We start from the raw sequence: 22,658 nt of genomic DNA on the forward strand, positions 1-22,658 counted from the left end.
GAGTCTCATTTGTAGGCCTAAATTCAGGCATGAGCAAGTGTAAGAGATCAAAGGTCTCCCCTACATCCCCCAATCCTTCTCCCCAGCAAATAGAGGGTTCTGAGCCAGACAGAAAATTAGATTTCCATGGTTCCTTCCAGCTTCAAAATGCCATAATTTTAGGCTTAGACTATTCTTCAGCACACATAAAGTTCACATTTACAACAAAAATAAATAAGAATCATCTATTCTCTCCATTCAGAAGATTCCCATAAACCATCCCAATGTTAAATGCCCCTAACTGGTTAAATTTTTTTAAAAATCACCTAATTCTCTGATGCTTCTAAATATTTTCTCTTCTTTAGTTGACTGGGGTGATGAACAACTTCTGAGTATGATCCACTACAGAAAGAGACTTTCTAATATTTGAAGCCTCTAGTTAAATCACCACTCACCCTTTTTTGTTCAGACTGAATAATCTCTCACTTCCTGTCACAATTTATTTAAAGTCCTTTAATCATCTTGGGGACTGTTTTGTAAAACATACTCCAAAATTTAACACATCCGTTTCTGGAAGGGCACGTGGAACGAGATAGAGTACTCAGGGAGAATTCTGACCAGAGGCGAGGACAACAGAGATTCCCTCCTGGTTGCTGAATGCAAATCAACAGAAGCTAACAGTGAGATTTTATGTAGGAAACTATAGTTTCCTTAGTCTTCAACTCTTTGAAATGAAAGTATTTCTGTGTTAGTGAGACAAAGTATATCCCGGCCCATGTGAGAGACTGGAAATATTCATTCAGAACAAAAATAAAATGGAGCTTGGAAAGGCCCAGCTGGCTTTCTTTAACCAGAAGTCATACAACCACATCTGGGGTAGCGCAGCTTTAGCGGTCTTCTGTAAGGATGGGACTAAGAGCAAGTGCCTCACTATACTGCCACTCTGTTGGTGTGGAGTCCAGTACTGAGCTTTTCTAAAAACACTCACCATGCAGACATGCCATCAGGAGAGGTGACTCATGAGCAGCCTGTACTCGTGATGGGCCTGAAGATTTTTTATTGGTATATACACAGTAAGTTATCACCTATCGGGGTGTACAGTATGTTTTAATCTCTGTTCTAATTCCTAATCTTATACATTTTTATTCATTTGAATTTGCACATTGTGAAGACTAATATGGGCCTCCCATATGCTTGTCAAATGGCTCTCCCCTCAATTTAGTATCATCACCTGTCTTCCTGAGAAAGAAACCATCACTCACCTTTGAGGAAATCAACCTATACACCTTGTGACAATAATCCATTAAAAGTCAAGCACTCCCTATGGGAAGGCCACTTCTGCCAGTTATGCTTCTGCATGCTGGCTACCGAGCAAAATCCATATAATGCCAGTTAATAAAATACAGCACTTCAAAAACTCACAGGAAAACACACTTCTACAAAGACTGGAGCTTACAAGTCAAGACTCATCAGACATTTGTGTACTGATCACGATTTAAGATTGACAAAATTTCAAAACATAAAGGAACCCCATAATTTAGAAATTTAAATCCATCTTATCCTTTGTTATTTCATTCCTGTAACAACTATGTATCAAATGCCTATTCTACAGCAGGCCCTGTGCTAGAGCTAAAGACACAAAAGTAGATAGAACTTCTGTCTCTAGGACTTTCCACCTCCTGGGGAGGAGAGGCAGACAAGGAAACAAGTCATCACAGCAACATGCTCTTATCAAGGTGTCCTCTGTGAGAAGGAAGAGGCTCAATTCCTTTATTCTAAGTGAAGGTGTCAGGAGATGCAGGTCTCAAAGGAGGTAACTTCTGAACTGAAGCTCGAAAGAAGAGAACTGAATGATCAGGAGAACATTTGTTATCCCAATAATCAGGCCCAGCAGAACAGGAATGTGTGTAACTTTAATAGCATTAAATATACATGAACCAACAATGCCAGATTTATCATTTTTTAAAATCAAATTCCTTTGTAAAAAGCAAACAAAAAATAAAACAAACTTGAATTCCTGACTCAGGTTCCATCTTTTTAAGAATATATCTTGCTTTTAATTTAACTTGATAAAACAGCATAACTTACAAGATGTTTTAAAAACAAATGTCAACGGATGGCTCAAAGCCCACTTGTGAGAATCTAAGGAGACAGCAGCGTTAGTGCCACCTTTTTCTTAACTTTTCATAGCCCATGTATCTTTCCACTGGATGGCATCCAATGACATTTTGGGGGCCAGAGAAGGGAAGGAGGTCATGTTGGAGAAGGCAGCATTTCTGGATTACAGAAGCATTATAGGAAATGATATATTGAGATGTAAACAGGGAAAGAGGTTTTTTCCAATTTGTTCTTTTTCATGAAATTTACCAGGTCATTTTATCTTCAAGTCCAAATCTAGACAATAACTAAAATACACAAATCATCCAATAATCAAACACTCAGTGATTAACATATTTTTTCTCATTTGTCAGAAATTGACCAGCCTAAAGGGGAATACAATAAAAACTGAAAGACAGCTGTCAGGTTCAAGCAAATAAATTAAATTGAATAGAACTTAGCCTTTTACATTCAGCAGGGACAAAGTGAGTTCAAGTGACCGAACAGAACAGCTCTCATTCTAATTGTGTAACCTTATTAATGCCTCCTTCTCATACTCCATGCCCTGATTGGGCTGGAGAAAGAAGCACTCCAATTCGCCAGTCACCATACAGAACCAGTTACAAATGGAACTTAATATAATACACTCAAAATAAAAACAATTTAGAAGGCTTCAGGAGGCACATGAGAATTTTACAATATCCATCTCATTCAAAAGAATTTATTCAGTGCATTTAATAAGCAAGGCATTGAGCTAGGGACCAATAAGACAATGACCATTTTTTCCAAACTAAAACTCTGAATACAAATATTAACAATTTTATGCAACTTCCAAGTATATGCAGCAACCAAGACACATAGTTTAGACACTGACATACTAGAATTTCCAAAACATTCTGATATTACATAGAAAGAACTGGACATTTTAAATAAAAACTACTACTAATTCTTCCCCAAAGAAAGGAAAACTGGGACAATAAAATCACCACAGAAAGACTCTAAGTCTAAGAATCTTAGAGCTGATGAAAATTTTTTTAATTTAGCTCCATATAAATAAAACTCTCTCTTTGAACATCAACCATCATTCTTCCGGTTTCACAGTTGTCAAAAGTACCTGAAATTGACAAACATTGTAAACTAGTATGTCATAATATTGAGATAGCTTTTATAAATCCCTGATATCTATTTGTTTCCCTCTTTTGCAGACAGACACAAGCAAAATTTCCAGTTGCAAGAGACAGAAGTTCACAGACAGGTAGACCATTTTTTAAAATAGAGTCATAGTATATTTTGCTGTGAGACAAAAGCATGGATAAGGAAAACAAAAAGGACAGCAAAGTTCTATTCCTCTCTATGATGGTCTCAAAAAGAATCTACCTGAATTCCAAAAACATAGCATTTTAATAATTTATTGCCACTTTGTCAGTGAGGGCTTTTATTTTTTTAATATCTAAAGCTTCCACTACCCGAGTGCATATTTGTTAAAACGGATTTGAGATACCAGCAACTGGGCTAGGTCATAAAGTTGATAACCCATCTGATTTAAGCCATTATTCAGAACCCCTAACCATGGAGGAATACACAATTGTTATTTCACTTCTCATATGAAATATAATTGATGGATTCATATAAAAGATGGAATTATTGTAAAATAAAATGATTTTAAAATGCTGAAAATGTCAAGAGTACTAAAGACTTAATTTACAAACTGAAATCCTATTTCATTGCCTACATCAGTCCTACCTAATGACTGCTTTAAAAATAGGAATGCAACACCTCAGAATCACTGGCTGATATTTTCACCTGAGCCTGCTCTAGAAATTAACAAAATCATCAAATCTGAAGATTTTGTTTGTCAAACCAGAGCATCAGTGTGGGTCATTAAGTGGAGTTCAGAAAAACAGGCTTAAGACAACATCCTTCAAAATGAAAGTAAATAACATTCTTTTGCAGGAGAGTATACTATTCTATTTCTGTGTATATATTTACCTGAACAGAAAGCAATGTTTAACAGTATTTCTTTATAAACCTCAGGCCAAGGTCAGACTAAATTATAATATTTATCACCAGAATTTGATGTCTGCTAAAAACAGAAATATAAAAAGCTTCCTCTCCTAATCAAACTATTTTACATAGTTAATTATTTAGTAAAACAAAATGCGAAATGAAATGTGAAGATATCTTAAATATACCAAAAGAAGTGGCCATTTTCTTTTTTTCTTTTTCTTTTTTTTTTTTTTAAGAGATATGGTCTTGCTATGTTGCCCAAGCTTCCACCTCAGCATCCCAAAGTGCTAGGATTATAGGTGTGAGCCACCACACCTGGCCAGTGGCAATTTTCAAAAATGTTTTCAAGCAAGAAAAGCCTCTTTAATAAAGAAAATAATGTGTTTACACTTACCTGTAACCATTCTATCTATTCTGTCTCCACTTCTTTAACTATAAAAATAAATGTCATCATAAGCTACTCTTGACCCAAGGCACTCATGGCTTTCAATGCTAATGGTTCTGACTATTCTCAGGTGACCAGAAAATACATAACACGTGTCATTTCTAATTCTGTGTTAGCAGTGACTGAATCGCCATTACCAGGCAGTGGACAAAGTGTTAACCACACACTCCCCATTTCCCATTTGATTATCCTTCGGTCCTCACAAGTTGACAGTGGATACAATTACTCCCCTTTTATGTATAGAGAAAGTTAGCCTGTGAAGTTATAACATATACCAGTGGAATTACAGAAAGCTGAAGTTCAAGGTCTCACCATATCCCTCTTGTATATCAAGAGACTGCTACATCAGAAAGTTGCTGGAAAAAAATTGACAAAATGATTTTTAGTAATTATCAAAATTCTATATCATGAATCACCACCATTCTTCATAGTTCTAGAAGTATTCAAAATGGTAATTTAACCATATTTGCTAAAAGGAGAGTGAGTATCTGCAAAAATGCTGTTTTCCAATGAGGTCACCCTAAATGGATTCTTTATTTGGTGTCATAATTAGTTTCAAATTTACACATAGCTGACACAAAAAAAGATAAGGAAAAGCATGAGAGGCCAATTACAAAAGTTATAAATGAATGGTCTATCAAAATTATATTTCATCTCGCTAAAATTACAAATAAAACAAAGAGACAAATAGATTTTAAAAGGCATATTTTTAAACAAATCTTAGAGTAAACCTCATTAATTAGATTCTAGATGTTAATTTTTTCCTATTTTAACTGGATGTCTTAAGATAAACTGTCCATTTAAAATAAGGGTTCTATCCCACACTTCTCAGAAAAACTATTATCTTCAAAATGTTGATTATTCTAATTGATGGCATTTTAGAATCACTGGAATTCCCCTGAATCCCAGTCTCAATTGTTGCATTAATCATTAAATTTACTGAATGTTTTTACAACAATGCACTTGTGTTATATTCACTTTATAATAGTCCCAAAAGGAAATGTTAATAAATAGACCAACCTAACTCGTAACGAACAGGATGAATTTGCATACTGTTCACTAAGTATTGAAAAGAATTTGTTCTCTTGGTATATTAACAATGCTGGAACTATGTTGTTTATACTTTTTGGTTATCGGACCCCTTTCTTCACATCCAATGCTGATGTAAACTTCAGCCAACAAACACTGGTGTTTTTTCACAATAAATTTAAATTCATGATATTGAATTAATAAAGTTTCACTATACTCAAATTGAAAACCAGATACATGAAACTCAACTGATGGTAACAAAATGTCAGTAAAATAAATTCACAAGCTCTTCCTGGAACACCACAAATAAATGACATTATTTACTACTCTGTTGCATCAAGGTCTAAACACGACAGTTACTACGAATGTGACATATTTGTTTTCTTTTTAAGTAGTATTATCAGTCTCACCCAGCTAGAAATACTAGTGGCTGGAATCCTTATTTACTTAATAATACTTAACTAGCATCTTCTTGCTTCTATGATCTTAGCATCTTTCAGAATTCTCCTATGTGTACTCTGTCTACATGAAGTACGTAAGCTGGCAATACACCTGAAAAACAGCTCATTCTCTATGGCCAAAAGCAACCTTACACAAAGCACAACAACGCATTATCTATAGTTTCTGAGAGATTCCACAAAACTCTTCTCAGAAATTTATCCCTCAACAGCCTCCCATAGTTTCTAAAATTTCTACCATTACCATCGGTTTGAGTTAAGGTAGAAGTCCCATCACAAAATACTTGGAGATGGGAACAGAGGGAAGGTAGGTTAAGAGATTTAACAAAGCCAAATACTCATTATCACATAGGGTTTAATTTCCTCTAAGTATTTTTAACTATCACATAGCAAAGTTCCATGACCAATAGGGAATGCTAGGGCCAGACAAAGCATTCTAGGCAGGAACAGAGAGAAATGAAGAAAAGCCAAAGTTTGAGACAAGGCCTGTAGAGTATCACTAAGAGAAAAATCAGGACGGGGGTCAAGGGGAGGAAGACAGTTATTCTTCTATTTATTGCCCTCGGTTTGCTGTATGTATCTTTAAAAATATAATGTAAAGCAATAAACGGACCATATTATTTTGATTTCCAGCAAAGGTCATTACCAAGATGTTTTCTCTGAATTTTTCTACTTTCCATTGTTTTAATCCAAGAAGAGTCAAAATGATACAGCACTAGTTTTGCTAACTGAAGTAACTTTCTCTCCTGGGATAATCTAAACAAATACTTTTCATCTCCACTGCCATCATTCTCTTTCATTTTTAAGGTTTAGAAAACCGATCAGGGTCTCTGAATACATGCTAGCAGATTCTATAAACCTCAAAAATAACATAGTTGAGACAGACTCAACCTACGTCTCTAAAGCTGCATTCTAAAAGTACAATTAAGAAAACAGTCACATCATATTACTACAAACCACAAGCACATCTTTATTTGTAAATAGCAATTTCTTATACAACAAAAGCCAGATGACACTAATAAATATAACTGTAAGCAAATGCCATGGCATGCCATGGTAATAACAATCTGAATATTTATTTTTGTATGTATATATAGTAAATAATACTACACATACTTCGTAAAAAAGAGAAAACTTATGGAGCACAAATACTTCCTCAAAGATAATTTCTTTTCTGTATTAAAGAATGAGTTAAATAGCCATTGAGATGAAGTTCTAACAAAATTTCAAGTAAATAATGGTTTCTAAACTCCATATTATCTAATTTTTGCAAATTAAATCACTTGTTAATATGTTTCACATCCAGCATACGCGTACTTTCCATTCATTCAGTACGTGTATACATACTCAAGGGGAAATATTATTTCACAGAAAGCTAATAATCAAAATAGATTATCTCAAATAACTAATAATAAAAATCTTATGTATGACAAAAGGTTGAATCCAACCTTGTATAATGCCTTTCATGCCAATAATATTCTACAAGAAAACAGGATAAACAATAACAGTGTATCCACCTTAAAATCAGGATTCATCAACAAAACTTCTATAAACAAAATTTCACATTTCACATCTCACATCAGGATCTCTATCAAAACAAATGCAAAATTAACTTTTCCTATTTTGAGTCTACTATCCACATAGTATGTGAATAAAATTTTTTAAATTATGGGTGAGTGTGTGTACCTAAAATGAAAAGTCATTTATAATGGTACAGTATTGAAAAAAAGCAAGGCAAAGTAGCCTTGGAATGGTTGAGTGGGCTCTTCCATTTTAAGCAGTAGAGAAACTAAGCCAGAAAGTATAAACATTTATTTTTACATGTTCACCTGATGACTTTACACCTACATTAAGAATCCACATCCTATGATTTAAAACAGGGAATGTGACCTTATGTGTGCACAAGTGTTTTTTTAATTGCCAACACGTTCACTAGTATCATTTGAATTATAAGCTTTACATTGTTTTGATCTTAACCTAGATTGGAGCTACATCTAAACTTCACACATTAAGGAGATAATTGTCATTCTCTGATATTTCTGCAAAGGGTCTCAATTTTTGAAAATGTCAACAGAAGCCTTTCATGCAAAACACAGCTCTCTCAAATAAATGTGAATGGACTGTTTCCATGAAAATCCATGCCTGCAGGAAAAATAAAATAGCTGTGCATCTCTCTGCAGCCCTATTTCGAATCATTTTTGCAGAGCTATTTCCTCATTATTTTCATGGGTATATGAATCCTGCACCGAAGCTGAAGCAGGAATGATTCCAGTAAAACCAAAACAAAAGAAGATATTTTGTTCTTTCTGAAAAAAGGGAACGTAATTTCCCCCATCACCACCACCACTCACACAGAAAAATTACTTTAAAAACTGAGTAAACCTCTAAGGAGAAAGAATCATTTCTGAAACCCCAGAGGGACTTGTGTATCATGGTCTTTGGGCTGCTGGGTTACTTCACTTTTAAGTGCTCATGGTGCAAACGACTTGATTGCCTTGCACTCTAGTTGCATGCTCTGGCCACATTAGATACCATCTCTGTTCTACACACAACACACACACATTACACCAGCCAGTGCTGTTTCCAATTTCAGAGGCCCGCTCCCCGCACAGCTCATGCCCATCTCTGCTTTGCTTGGTGTCCTGACCCCCAGGAATGTGAGATACTACTTAATCCAAGTGGTTCTGCTCTGTTGCCTCAGCCTTCCAGGATTCATAGGATGGTTCCTCCCCCACTACACCTAGGAATACAAGGAGGCCGATAGATTCCCGTGCGACAGAGTGATCAACCACAGCCTGTCCCCTTCCTCACTCCGCACATCCCAGTTTCTCTTTGCCAGCAACCTCAGTGCATCCTTGCCAGGAGTTTATCATCCCGTAGGCGGCGAAGAGGAGGCAATAATAGGAATCCAACAGCCCGTTACAAAAAGGATGCCAGGGCACGGAGGAAGCAGGCGGAATGAGGTTATCACTTGGGAGGTGTGCACGAGTGGAGAACCCTTTAAGAGCAATGACAGGTCGGCGGGGGACAGCCGGGGATGGCAAGAGAGGCTGGAGAAGTGGTTTTCGTGTCTCTCCCCGGGGCGTGCGGGGGAAATCCCGGGGCGGCAACGGCTGGTGCTCTCAGGTCGTTCCCCGCCTCCCGCGCCCCCCGCGGCCACCCTCCAGCCAGCGACCGCCCCCGCCCCCGCCCCGCGCGGAAGGAAGCGCCGGGCTCCCCCCACGCTCTCCCGCTCTCTCGCGAGTCCTGTGCAGGCCCTTCCAGGGGGAGGGGGAGGGGGAGGGGGGCGCGGAGGGAATTGCTGCAATGGAGCTCCAAGACAACCCTGCCCAAGTGAGGCAGTCGGTGGAAAGCCACGGCCACATAAAAATGCCGTATTAATTTTTAAAAAGCCATCAATCACCCCTCCCTCTGCAGAAGAAAACCATAAACCCGATCCCATGCAAGCCTGTGAGCAGAGCCACCCACTTCCTATTTCTGTCACAGCAGCTACACCCTACCAGCAACCACCCCCCGGGCGCCCCCTCCCACCACCGCCACCCCCGCCGCCACCTCCCCGCGGCTCAGCCATTTGCCAACTGACGCCCCCGTCAATAAAAATGCCCCAAGTGAGGCTGGGTGGGACGCGTGGGGGAAGGGCGCCGCGGGGGCGGGGGGTTCGCGGGGTTCGCGGGTTGCACAATATCCTAGAAGGTCCGCGGCTGGAGCGGACAGAGGAGAACCTGGGGCGGGGGAGGGGAGGAAAGGCGAGGCGAGGCAAGCTGCCCTGGCGCCTGCGGCACACGGTGCACCCAGGCCACCGCGGCGCTCCGCTTACCTTTCACCACCCTGTCGGTCGTCGACAACTTGGGATCAATTGCCTTGGGCTCGGACATCTCCAGCTGCCGGAGGACAGCGACGCGCTGCTCGTCCGTCCGACTGCACACCCCGACCGGACCGGCGGGCCAGACACTCAACGCCGCCGCCGCCGCCGCCGCCGCCGCGCTGCAAACCGCTCGGCTGGAGGTCTAGGCTCTGAGCTGGCTTTAAAGTTGCTGCCTTTTCCGCGCGTCCCTCCTCCGCCGCCGCCGCCTTCACTCCTCCTCCGCCGCTGCCGCCAGCCCCGCCGACTCGCTCCGGGCTGCGCGTGTGTGGTGGTTATTTATTTATTTTCTGAGCACGCCTCCCGGTTCTTCTTTTATTCTTGGGGGAAGGGGGATGGGGAGGAGAAGCGCACACACGAGCACCCACCCCGGCACGGAGACCCAGCACCGCGGAATGGAGCCCCACGCGCGCACACACGGCCAGGATTAAGACCGATCACATGGGGAAGGCCGGGGGCGAGGGAGGAGAGGCAGGGCCGCCGATGTCAGTGCCACCAGCCGCACCTTGGCGTCCCCGGCGGCGGAGAGGCGGCCGCCGCTGCTGCCGCTGCTGCTGCCGCTGCCGCTGTTGCTGCTGCCGCTGCCCCTGCTTCTCCACACAGAGCGCCGCCGCTGGTGCCGCGGCCGCCGGAGACGTCCCGCCGCCGCGATCGCCCGCGCTCGCCTCTGCCTCCCCGCGCCGCTCCTCCACTCACCAAGGCACAGCCGCCGAGCTCGGCAGACACAGTCCCGGGCACAACCTACCCCCCTCCGCCGCCGCCGCCGCCGCCAACACCGCGCCCGCCTCCGCCTCCTCCCCTTCCTCCTCCCGGCCCCCGCCTCTTGCGCGCCTGCAGCCTCCTCCTCCCCACTGAGCCCGCCCCCGACCTCCCGCCCCGACGCCGGAGTTCCTCGCGTTCATTGGCTAGAGGGCGCATCACTCAGTGCCAGGTGGCGGCCTCCCCGCTTGTCCCGCCTCCCGCTCCTCCTCATTGTCCCCGCCCCTTGCTCTGTTTTCTTCCAGCTGCCGGACCAGCGGGCCTGCCGCCTCTACGGACCAGTCCCTGCTCAGGTGTCACTTTTGCTGGCAGGCCGAGATTAGGGCAGGAGAGTGGGCAAGGCGTCGCGGCCAGGAGGAGAAGGGCTCTACCACGCCACCCTCCTTTGGCCTCCGAACGCGGACCCCGCACACACACACCCGCGCCTCTTTGGCAAGCGTGCCTTGTCGGCTGGGTTAAGCCGCAGTGTGAGTAGCCAAGTGCAGAGGGTGTCTCCGGGTGTGTGCGTGGCCCACAAGAGGGCAAGAAGAGAGAAGGCGGGGATAGGAGGGAAGAGGGTGGGGGTGAGAGGCAGCCCTGAGAGGGCGGAGGAAGGAAGAGGCTGGGAGCTCGGCGCCCGCGGCGCAGCTGCCGTCGCTGCCGCAGCTGTCCAGGGAGGATCGCCAAAACGGCGACGAATAAACAACTTACCTTGCGGAGAAGAGCTACGACTGCGATGCGGTGTACGGTTGTTTTTGCTTTTGCGTTGGCGGCTTAGGGGCTGTTACTGTGTCCCACCCAGGCGTGCACACCGAGCGGCGGGGCGCTGTGGAACGCGGGAGCGGACTAGCGGAGGAGGATGCGGACCAAGCCCCAGCGACCCAGGGCAACTCGGAGCTACCTCGGGCAGCCCTGCGGGTCTCCGAGGAGAACCGAGGAGACGGGAGAAACATGGGAGAGGGTGGCCTTTTCCCTGTTCACACACACATGCACGCAGCCACTGGCCGGGACAGTTGACACCCATCTTCCTTCCCTGCTCCTTCCAGTCATTCTACACCCGCTTGGTGCTGCCAGTGCGGGCAGGGCCTTGGAGCCCAAAGCGGATCCCCACACTTGTCCCTACGGTCGGAAGGAAAGTAGAGGAGAGAAAGTCAGGCGCGGCAGGGCTAAGAGCAATAGTGGCCCAAATGTTCCTGGCCCGCCTGCTGCGCCACAGAGTCTGAAAAGCGGGTCTCCGTCTACCAGAAGGTGACCTCCACACAGCCCCTCTCCCCGACCAACTGCAGCACCCAAGGACTGGCAACGTGGTTGGAGCTTTTGGGGGGAATTATGAAGAAATCTGAATAAATTTCTCACCCTTCATGTTTCCTGTTTTATTTCCAAAGTCCTTCAGTATCAGGTTTTTCCTATTTCCTCAATTGGACCACGGGTCCAATAAAAGGTTTAAAATACACACACACACACACACACACACACACACACACAAAGAAAACAAAAACAAAAAAAAAAGTTTAGGGAGCTGGGAGATGAAGCCAAAAGAAATGTTTTGGAGACAAGGATTAGATTAAAGCTCAAACTTGAAAATCAATTTTGAGTAAGAGACTGATTGTGCTGCAGCGTGACTTTGATGTGGACTGCACGGAATAGAAACACACACTAGATACCTCTGTGGAGGCCTAGCAAAAGGAGCAGACGCAGGGTGTGTCCCACCAAGATAGGGAGGCTGCCACTGGCACTGAGATTCTGCTGCCCAATTTCCAACCCCAGGATACTGGGTGGCAATTAGACAATTCATTCAATAAAGATATTTTCTGTACTCCTTTTATTTATATGCCAGACTTTGTGGTGGGTAATTAGGTGGGGAGGGAGTGTATTTGAAAATTGTCCTTGCCCTCAATAAAGCCTAAAATTTTCAGAGAACATAAAATTATGAGCTCTGAGAGGTCACTGTAATCTCAGGAAGGGGTTGTTGGAAACAGCCTCCTGAGCACGGGCAGAGCTAGTTGCTAAGGCAGATTTGGGAAGTTGGTCCCTGGCCAGATGGCACACAGGGAGCGATGCCAAGACCTGTGGGTGAAGAGGGCCTGCTTCAGAAAGACCAGGAAACCATGTCCAGGGATGCTCATTTCCAAGGCCAAGACATTCTCTCCTACATATTAGAAAAAAATGAAGTTCCCACCTTTATTTGGAATAACTTTTTACTAGGTATAGGATAAACATCTTTGAACCAAGATCAGAAGGCTTAAAATGTCAGCACCATATAAAATTACATGATACAGATAGGAAATAAAGGCACACCTTTCAGGCACACCCTTTAGTCCGCTACAAGTCTAGGACACCTCCTAGCTAAGGTATGTATGGGAAGAAAAAGTTATGACTCACAATCACTTCCCAACACATTATCAACATGAACTTTTAATGCCTGTGTATGATTCCATAACTGCTGCAACACTGACACCTCTTAAACAAAATTGGATCCTGCTCTAAGGAAACAGGACGGCAGCATATTAACTAGGGACTACTTGTGTTCATACACCTGACCTCCTGAAGTAGACAGACAGATCATCTTTTTTATTCGGTTACTGTTTCAGATGTCCTACCCTCTCCTACTGCCATTCTTTTTCTGTCCTGTCCAGAGATCCCCAACCTTTTTGGCACCAGGGACTGGTTTCGCGGAAGACAATTTTCCCATGGATGGTGGTTGGGGGTGGTTTCAGGATAAAACTGTTCCACCTCAGATCGTCAAGCATTAGATTCTCATAAGGAGCGGGCAAGCTAGATCCCTTGCATGCACGGTTCACAGTAAGGTTTGCACTCCTATGGGAATCTAATGCCACTGCTGATCTGACAGGAGGTAGAGCTCAGGCAGTAATGTTTGCTCACTCTGCTGCAGATCTCCTGCTGTACAGTCCAGTTCCTAATAGGCCACAGACTGGTACTGTTCTGTGGCCCAGGGGTTGGGAACCTCCGTGTTAGACTGCCCTAGCAGTCCATAATTATATTACTGCTTGCATGAGAATACTTTATATTTGGAATTTACATTTTGAAGGGGTTACTTCAGTTCCCAGATGCTGACTTTGGCAATGTCCTGCTTATCAAGAAATAGGAGGGGGGAAAAGCTTGAAAAAAGACAACTTTTTGTCTACCAAAAAAATGTGTTTTCCCTCCCTTAGTATAATTCACTCTGGGAAGTGTCTGCCCAGAGAGGGATTCCCATTTCTAGCCTGACCCTTCTTTCCTCGAAGAAGGTCCATGTGACCAGTTCTGATCAATGGACTGTGGACTAAGATGGTTGGTCACTCTCAGGACAAGGCAGTTAAGCAGTAGATATACATTTTCTAGTCTATGGGCTCCCATCCTTAGCGGAATGCAGAGACTTCTAAGACCCAGGGCAGGCAGAACCCCAGAGACAAAGACGAGAGTCCCTTAATTACCACATAGAGGAATACTACCCAGTTACTAAGAAAATAGGCATTAGGCTTTACTCATTTATTGTGTTACTCCATTACAATGTGGAGATATGTTTGTTAGACTAGTTAATATTACCAAATTAATATACGAAAGTAATATGTTAGTTCCAAAAGTACATTCCTTAGCAAAACCTAGAATTATTGTTTTACTGTAATATAAGAGAACTACCAGAAGACTAAAAATACTCTTACTTCTTTTAATACATGAGCATCAAATCTTAATTCTCTGTTAATGAATATTCTTTGACCACACCTGTTCTGTGCCCTATGCTACATGATGCATAAAATGTAGGGAGTAAAGAAGGATTCAGAGATTTTGTTCCTTCATTCAAGGATTTAAAAGTCTTGTTATATGATCATTAGATATATATTATATTTGCAAACATTTATGTATAAGGTGCTACTTCCTCTTTCTATTGGAGAAGAAAAACTATTAGATTTATCAAAAGTAATTATGAAGATAAATATGTGGGCAAAAAAAGAAAATATTGTGGATTTGGAGTCATCTGTGCATTTAAGTGCTCCACAGAGCAAGCTTCCATTGGTGCAAATCACAGTAAATTAAGTACATTTTAGTATACTATTAAGTGCTTTATCAGATGTTTTAGTTTTAAAAATAAAATAAAATATTGTATGTTATATTCTGTTTTGAAAATAACAGGCTTTCAAAATTTTGAACTTGTATTTGGTTCTTGGATGAATTTATTATCATTTGGACATTACGGTTGAGTAGTAACTTCTGATTATGGCTGGGCATGGTGGCTTACGCCTGTAATCCCAGCACTTTGGGAGGCCGAGGCAGGTGGATCACGAGCTCAGGAGTTCGAGACCAGCCTGCCCAATATGGTGAAACCCCGTCTCTACTAAAAATACAAAAATTAACCAGGCGTGGTGGTGTGTGCCTGTAGTCCCAGCTACTCGGGAGGATGAGACAGAAGAATTGCTTGAACTCAGGAAGCAGAGATTGCATTGAGCTGCAATCATGCCACTGCACTCCAGCTTCGGTGACAGAGTGAGACTCCATCTCAAAAAAAAATAAAAATAAAAAAAAACTTCTGATTATGACTCTTCTGAGGCATTCACTTTTTTCTGAGTAGCTGATGGTAGACAGCAGTATGTCTGCTCTATCCTCACTTAAGTTAGTGGAGCACAATGCTGAGGAACCTGCAAAGTAGGACAGTCAATCCTGATAGGGCCATGAATGTATATGAGACTTTGATTTATTATCTTAAAGCTAATTCCTGTGACATTTCCTTCTCACATTTTCTAGTTCTACCCTACTTCCATAGAGGTTCTATGAAATATGCTATTCTACATAGATCTAATTTGAGGTTCAAACTAAAAGGAAGTTTTATTACCTATTTTTTTATTGCTCTTGAAATTTTGTTGAGCCTTGTTTCTTTCAGAAGGCAGTTTTACCCATTTAAAGAAGTTATTTTTCAAGGAACATTAAAAATTTTTGTATCAAATGTATTCAGGAATAAATTTAATTTTTTCCCATTAGGATTAAACTATAATTTATGGAATTATATGCTAAGTGTAATACAGACAGATATATTTTATGTAAAATTTGACAAGACAATCTGTGATCATTATACATTTGTATTTAATAAATTTTCATATTTATTTTATTTATTAATATGTTTGTATCATCATCTCATATCCTAGTTTTGGGCACAGAGTAGGTGCTCAACAAATTTTGTTGAATGAATTTTTAAAATGTATTGGTGTCCACTATATAAGTTACTAGCCTAAGTAACATTGTTCCTACTCTCAGAGAAATTTCAATATGACCCATGAAATTAAAAACATGCATCCCCACCCCTACACACACACACACACACACACACACACACACACACACACACACACATATATGCTGGAGAGAAATGTTATTAGTCCTTTCTCTTACTTTGAATTCTAATTTTATTACACATTTTGAAAATTATGAATAAATTAATGGTTCCAAGTCATAAATGTTTGCATTTAAAATATATGTGCTATTATATTTTTAAACATCCAAGAAATATACATGCTGTAAAACTTTATGTATTATGGATTCTCTAAACTTAGAATTTCAGAATATTTGACATGAAATGAGCTAAGTTTATATTTTAGGTGCTTTGAGAATAACTTCAACAATACCAGCAAAAGGCTTACTAATCAAACTACAGGTACAGACAAATTATAGGAGACCTGGTAAATCAATTTAGGAGAAAGTTTGTCAGAGCCTTTAAAAGCACATTTGCATATACAAAATCAATATAAGAATTAGTAACGAGTTTCACTCATCTAAGTTGGCAAAGACATATTTTTTACTTGAAACAGATTTTGCCAATTATTGATTAAAAATTGCAAGTAAATATTCTACCATTTAGAAGAATTGGCTAGCCTTCTTTCCATTTACTTCCAATTAGTGAGATTTTTTTTTTTACTACTGTTCATGGCTAGTGGAAGGCATATATTCACAAGGTATTTACTGAGACTGGGTGTGGTGGCTCACACCTATAATCCCAGCACTTTGGGAGGCCAAGGTGAGTGGATCACCTGAGGTCAGGAGTTTGAGACCAGCCTGGCCAACATGGTGAAACCCCATCTCTACTAAAAATATAAAAATTAGCCAACCATGTGGCAGCTGCCTGTAGTCCCAGCTACTTGGGAGGCTGAGACAGGAGAATCGCTTGAACTTGGGAGGTGGAGGTCACAGTGAGCCGAGATAGTATCATTGCACTCCAGCCTGGACAACAGAGCGAGACTCTCTCTCAGGAGAAAAAAAAGGGGGGGTATTTATTGAACACCTATACGTATCAGGCACTAGGAATATAATATGAAAAAAAGCAAAGCAAAGTGTCTGCCCTCATAAAACTTATGTTCTAGTGAGGAGAGACAGATAATAGTAAAGAACAATTAATAACAGTTACACACACACACACACACACACAACATGTCAGGCAGACTAAGTAATAAGTGCAAACAATGCATAGTGGTAAGAACATTGAGGGAAGTGATGAGAAGAAGGGTACTATAGTCAGCCCTCTGTATCTGTGGATTCTACGTTCATGGATTCGACCAACTTTGAATCAAAAATATTTCGGGAAAAAAGATAACTACTTGTATACTGAATATGTGCAGACTTTCTTTTCTTGTCATTATTTCCTAACAAGACAGTGTAGAAACTATTTACATAGCATTTACATTGTGTTAGCTATTATAAGTAATATAGAGATGATTTTAAATATACAGGGGGATGTGCAAAGGTTACATGCAAATACTACACCATTTTATATCAGGGATTTTAGTGTGTGTGGATTTGGGTATCCTCAAGAAGTCCTGGAACCAAACTCCACAGATACTAAAGTACCACTGTACTTGTTGTAGACAGCTTGGACTGGGAAGTCCTCTCTGAGAAGGTGATATTTGAACAGAGATTCAAATGAAATAATGAAGATATTTATGCCACTATGTGGAAGAAGAGAGTTCCCAGTAAAAGGAACTGCATATGCAAAGGTCCAGAGTTAAGAGTCTGGTTGACATGTTTACAAACTCTGAAAGGAAGCCAGGGTAGTTGGAGCAGAATGAACTCGAAAGAGTGGTACAAGATAAGGTTAGGGAGATCATGAAAAGTCAGATTATGTAGGGCCTTAACCATAGGAACGACTGAATTTTATTCTGGGTGAAATGAAAGGGATTTTGTTAGGAAATGATATGATAGGACTTAAGTTTAAAGAAAACAATCATTCTTTGGTAAAAACTGACCCTGGATGTAATGGAGGGAAGGAAGAATGAATAGATATGGGAAGATGTAGTTAAAGGACTATTGTCATAATCCAATAGAAGTAAGGTAGTTTGGGTTATATAGTTTAGAAGACAGTGGTGAAAAGCATCCAATACCAAAAATGCATTTTAAAAGTAGAACTAACAGAATTTGCTGATGGATTGGATACAGGATGTGAGAAAAATAAAAAAGAAGAATCAAGAACTACAAGATTTTGAGTCTCAGCAAATGGAAGATAAGAGTTAACATTTACTAAGAAAGAAAACATTAGAAATGGACAGCATATTTGCTGGAGAAGATCTAAAGTTAGCTTTAGATATGTTAACTCTGAGGCGCATATTGTACATGGAAGTGGAAATGGCATGTGGGCAGTCGGATATATAAGCCTGAACTTGAAAGTCTTGTGTATAAAATTGGAAATCGTGGGCATAATAGTGCTTTATTTCAGTTAGAAGGTAGGAAGAATAGGAGGTTCCAGCAAAACCAACTGAAAGAAGCAGCTTCTGGGATTGAAAGGTAACGTCCCCACAGTCAAGCAAATGAATTGTGTCAACCATGCTGATAGGTTAAGTAAAATGACAACTGAAATTTGATTGTTGATTTTAATAAAAAGAGAAATTATTTGTGATCTTGACAAGGTAGACTTGTATACCTAACAAAAATAGCACCTCATCACTCTCTGCCTCTTTATAGGGTTTCAGTTCCTTTTCAGTATTTATAACTACTTGACGTTGCATCTGTATGTGTGCTGTGTTTGATTTATTTGTTTGTTGGTCTTCTGTCATCTACTTAGATAATATGAACCTTGAGAGCAGGGACTTTGTTTTGTTCCCAATTGAATTTCCATCGCCTGTAACATGCCTACCATATTCCAGGTGCTTAATATATGTTTGTTGAAAAAAAACAAATATTTGATTACAATGTTAGTCTGGGTTAGTTTTTCTAACCTTCTAAATAGTTTAAATAAGCATTTCAAATATTTTTAGGAAAAACTAAAATTTCACATTTAGATTTTTTAAAGTTACAGAGTCAACTTTCGTAGAGAGTGGACTCAGGCCTTGAGGATGACAGATGGAATTCAGGAGTTTAGTTTTTAGCACGAGGTGTGTCTCTCACACATCCGTACTGTAAGAATAATTACTTATATAGATCCAAGGGAAGACACAGTATTACTCATATTTCTTCCTTCTCCAAATACACAAAGGGTTCTATTGTTTGCTTGCAACATCTAAGCTATTCCCTGGTGATAAGTTAGGACAGATAGCAGCAATTTTCAGAGAGGAAGTGGATACGGTTTGGGTTATGGTTGTTTAGGAGCAGTCCTCAAAAGAGTTTCCCTCTCTATTTCAGGGTGTTACCTGTGCCCAGCCCAAAGAAATCTAGTCTGTCTTAGAAATTGTGTTAATATGCTTTAGGGTGCCCGTCCTGCCCATATCCCTGCTGTAGGTAAAATGCCTCAGTAGCCTCACCTGCCAAGTGATCATCAGGTCACAGGTTTAATTACTGCCATTACAGGGGATTGGACTAGGGTGGATGAACATCTGACTAGGGGGTACCTATGGGCTGGTAACCTTTAACTTCCCTAATCTAATTTGCACAAGTAAGCTAGATTAATCAGATGCCTTCTGTGAAGGGCTTGCCCTTAAAATTCAAAGGAAAGTGTACGGTTATTGTTTGAATAAAGGGAAATGCAGGCTGGGGTTAACGTAGCCACTAGCACATGATTCATGTGCAAGGCATGTAAACAGATGAAGCCATTCTGGGTAGAGGGGTAATAGGTCAGATTCAACAGGGGCGGAGAGAGCAGAAAGAGACATTTCAAAATCTGTGTTCTTTTTGTCCTTCCAAGGCATCATTGTTTAATTTTTTTCTGGATATATAAACCCCTCAATACCCTTACAATAAACCCTATTTTCTACAGCTAGTTTGAGTGTTATGTTCCTTACAACCAAAGACCCCTAAAAAGAGCCACTAAGATTGTTACTTTACGCCCTCTGTAAGTTTTCACCTACTGATTCTGGTGCTTATGGCAATGCTCTTCTTCAGCAGACAATGACCATATTCTACCTTCATCCTTGCCCATACCATTGTTTCTATAGCACACTCAGTACAAAAAAATTAAAGGAGAAAAATTAGTATGGATGGAAAGAGGGATAGATAGACTCTGACTAGGCAGTCTTGGGGAATTTTTGAGCTATTGACTGAATATTCTCCATGCCTATTGCCATGTCATCATCAGGCAGGTTATAGGCTATGCTGCAGTAAAAATGGAAAATCTTGGTAGCTTAACAAAAGTTTGAATTTCTCTGCAGGTCTGGGCAGCCCTCCAGGCTGACTCAGCATTCCAGCCTCCTACAATCAGATAGCACAAATATTAACACCTGGTTCCACAGTCACCCAACAGGGCTGGAGAGGGCTGAAGGTCTAAGCCCTAGCAATCAAATGCTTCTGCCTGGAAGTGATACTCATGAATGACCACACTCACATTCCATAGGCTGAATTCATCATTTGGCTAAACCTAATTTCAAGGGAGGCAGAGTTATGTGATTCTCCCACATGTCTGAAATTAGAGATCAAACATTTATAAAGGGTAATAATGCCAATCAGCGTATCTAAATAACCCATCTAATCCTGTGGGACCCATATGCTACTCATTACAACCCAGTGACTAGGACATTTGTCTTATCTGTTTCACATGCCACAGTTAGTCCTGGAATTACTGTGGAACATACGCGCACACACACACACACACAAAACATATTACTAAAAATTAAAGTTTTTAATTAAAATTTTTTGGGTAAAAATTTACTTTTTGTTCCTCATTCATGACCTAAGAATTTCTGTTCTGCTAAATATATACTACCTACCTCCCGTGTAATTGTAATGCATAGTCAGCTATCTAAGGTTGGAGTACCTAGATGCGGACCCTGAGATAAATATTCATATAAAGGTGATTTATTAAAAAGTGTTCCAAGGAAAAACCAGGGGGGAAGCAGGAAAAGTGACAGGGAAGGGAAGAAAGCCAAGCAAGGGTGATATGTCAAGCAAAGATGGTTAACTTTGGCCCAATCCTGTGGGGGTCCTCTGGAGACTTATAAGTCACACCTCTGAGCTGTTCCCATCAGGGAGCAGGGAGCTGAGTATTTGTACCACCAGGCTTGTGTGATCAGACTGCCTCGGAGAGATACGAATTCCTAGGCACTTCCTGCTCTCTCCACGTTTGGGCAAAGGCCAAGGAAGCCTGAGGACAGTGGTCTGACAAAGATGCAGATACAAGCACAGAGGGAGCTGCTGTGGAAATGGAAAAGTTTGGGACAGGCTCAGGGTTGAGGCACTGAGAGCATGTGCTAGTCAGAATTGATAGCCACTTGGATATAGAGGGATGGTGCAAGGAAAATGACCAGATCACCGACTTAAAGATGCAGTGGGGAAAAAACAATAATCTCTTCTTATCTCACTTCAGATTACTCTCCTTCTCCCACATCCACAATGAATTTACCATCCTAAGAATAAGGATGATGAATTTCCTGGGCAGATTCCTTCCCTGTTTCTAATCCCCAAATGATGTACCCTCCATTGCCCGAAATTCTTAACTCACGGAATATAGCATTTAATTCCTTGATAGGTAAAATGAAAATATTCCTAAAACAGGAAGTATATTGAGTCAACTCAGAACTGAGATCTGTCCCAGATATTTGCAGTACCCCTCTGCCCAGGCTGGGAAGGCATTAGGTGTATGTTGGATATTTTGTCTGCTCAGAAGCCTCATTTCAAAGATGACTTATCCACATGATTCTACATGACCCCATCTAAAGGTTATAGTACCATAGATCAAGACTGGATACATGTTGCCTTCTTTTCCCATGATATTTCTTTCTTTGGAAAACTGAATTCAGTCTTTTCTCTGGAAAACAGGTCAAACTGATACTAAGAAGCTTTCAGCAGCCGTGTTATTCTACCATATGGATTAGGAAAGAAGAGAAGGTGGTTCTACAGAAAAAAAAAAATGAATCAGTCATGCAGAAAAGAGCAAGCAAAGATGAAAGAAGGAAGACGGCTGGTATTCCATTTCCTGATCCCACTGTGTTCCCACGACCCAGCTACATGACAGCCCTTGGGGTCCATGAGACCCCCACAACATTCTTATAATTCATTAGCATTTTATGCTGGAGTTCGGTTGAATTTCAGTTATGTACAACCGAAGGGTAGTAAGTAATAAAGAAATGTATTCATAATTGCTAAAACTTGGAACCAACCAAGATGTTTTTCAGTAGGTGAATGGATAAATAAACTGTGGTACATTCAGGCAATGGACTGTTATTCAGCACTAAAAAGAAATGACCTATCAAGCAATAAAGAAACATGAAGGAAACTTAAATGCATATTACTAAGTGAAAGAAGCCAACCTGAAAAGGCTACATAGTGTATGATTCCAACTATGTGACATTCTAGAGAAGGCAAAAGTATGGAGACAGTAAAAAGATCAGTGATTGTCAGAGGTCAGCGGGAAGGAAGAGATAAATAGGTGGAGCAGAGAGAATTTTTAGGGCAGTGAAACTACCCTGTGTAATACTATAACAGTGGGTACATGTCATTCTACATTTGTCCATACTCACAGAATGTACAACACCAAGAGTGAACCCTCATGTAAACTATGGCCTTTGGGTAATAATGATGTATCAATGTAGCTTATCAGTTGTAGCACTGTACCACCGTGGTGGGGGACATTGACAGTGGGGGAGGCTATCCATGTGTGGGGGCAGTGGGTATATGAAATATCTTCATACCTTTCTCTCAA

General features: G+C 41.1%; 1 protein-coding gene and 1 long non-coding RNA gene across 4 annotated transcripts in view, besides 3 other annotated features; one reads left to right on the top strand and one right to left on the bottom strand.

Annotated features, from left to right (window-relative positions):
• The window catches only part of PPP3CA (protein phosphatase 3 catalytic subunit alpha), a 324,109-nt gene extending 313,489 nt beyond the window's left edge, over nucleotides 1-10,620 (bottom strand). For all 3 annotated transcript variants that reach the window (NM_001130692.2, NM_001130691.2, NM_000944.5), the window contains exon 1: nucleotides 9,833-10,620. In NM_001130692.2, the coding sequence (NP_001124164.1) occupies nucleotides 9,833-9,890 (58 nt within the window). In that variant the 5' untranslated portion in view covers nucleotides 9,891-10,620. The remainder of the gene's footprint in view (nucleotides 1-9,832) is intronic.
• Nucleotides 9,006-9,395: a silencer, noted in NCBI's record as "silent region_15591". NCBI's record gives its function as "represses an Ori minimal core promoter by ATAC-STARR-seq in GM12878 lymphoblastoid cells {active_cell/tissue: GM12878}" and the evidence as "EXISTENCE:reporter gene assay evidence [ECO:0000049][PMID:35858748]".
• Nucleotides 9,416-9,775: a silencer, noted in NCBI's record as "silent region_15592". NCBI's record gives its function as "represses an Ori minimal core promoter by ATAC-STARR-seq in GM12878 lymphoblastoid cells {active_cell/tissue: GM12878}" and the evidence as "EXISTENCE:reporter gene assay evidence [ECO:0000049][PMID:35858748]".
• Nucleotides 10,246-10,855: a silencer, noted in NCBI's record as "silent region_15593". NCBI's record gives its function as "represses an Ori minimal core promoter by ATAC-STARR-seq in GM12878 lymphoblastoid cells {active_cell/tissue: GM12878}" and the evidence as "EXISTENCE:reporter gene assay evidence [ECO:0000049][PMID:35858748]".
• Nucleotides 10,871-11,977, top strand: PPP3CA-DT (PPP3CA divergent transcript). The gene is made up of 2 exons (NR_033874.1): nucleotides 10,871-11,103; nucleotides 11,418-11,977. It is a non-coding gene; the product is annotated as a PPP3CA divergent transcript (long non-coding RNA).
• The last annotated feature ends 10,681 nt before the right edge of the window (nucleotides 11,978-22,658 follow it).

The sequence above is a fragment of the Homo sapiens genome, chromosome 4 (assembly GCF_000001405.40).
Source record: "Homo sapiens chromosome 4, GRCh38.p14 Primary Assembly".
Lineage (NCBI taxonomy): Eukaryota > Metazoa > Chordata > Mammalia > Primates > Hominidae > Homo > Homo sapiens.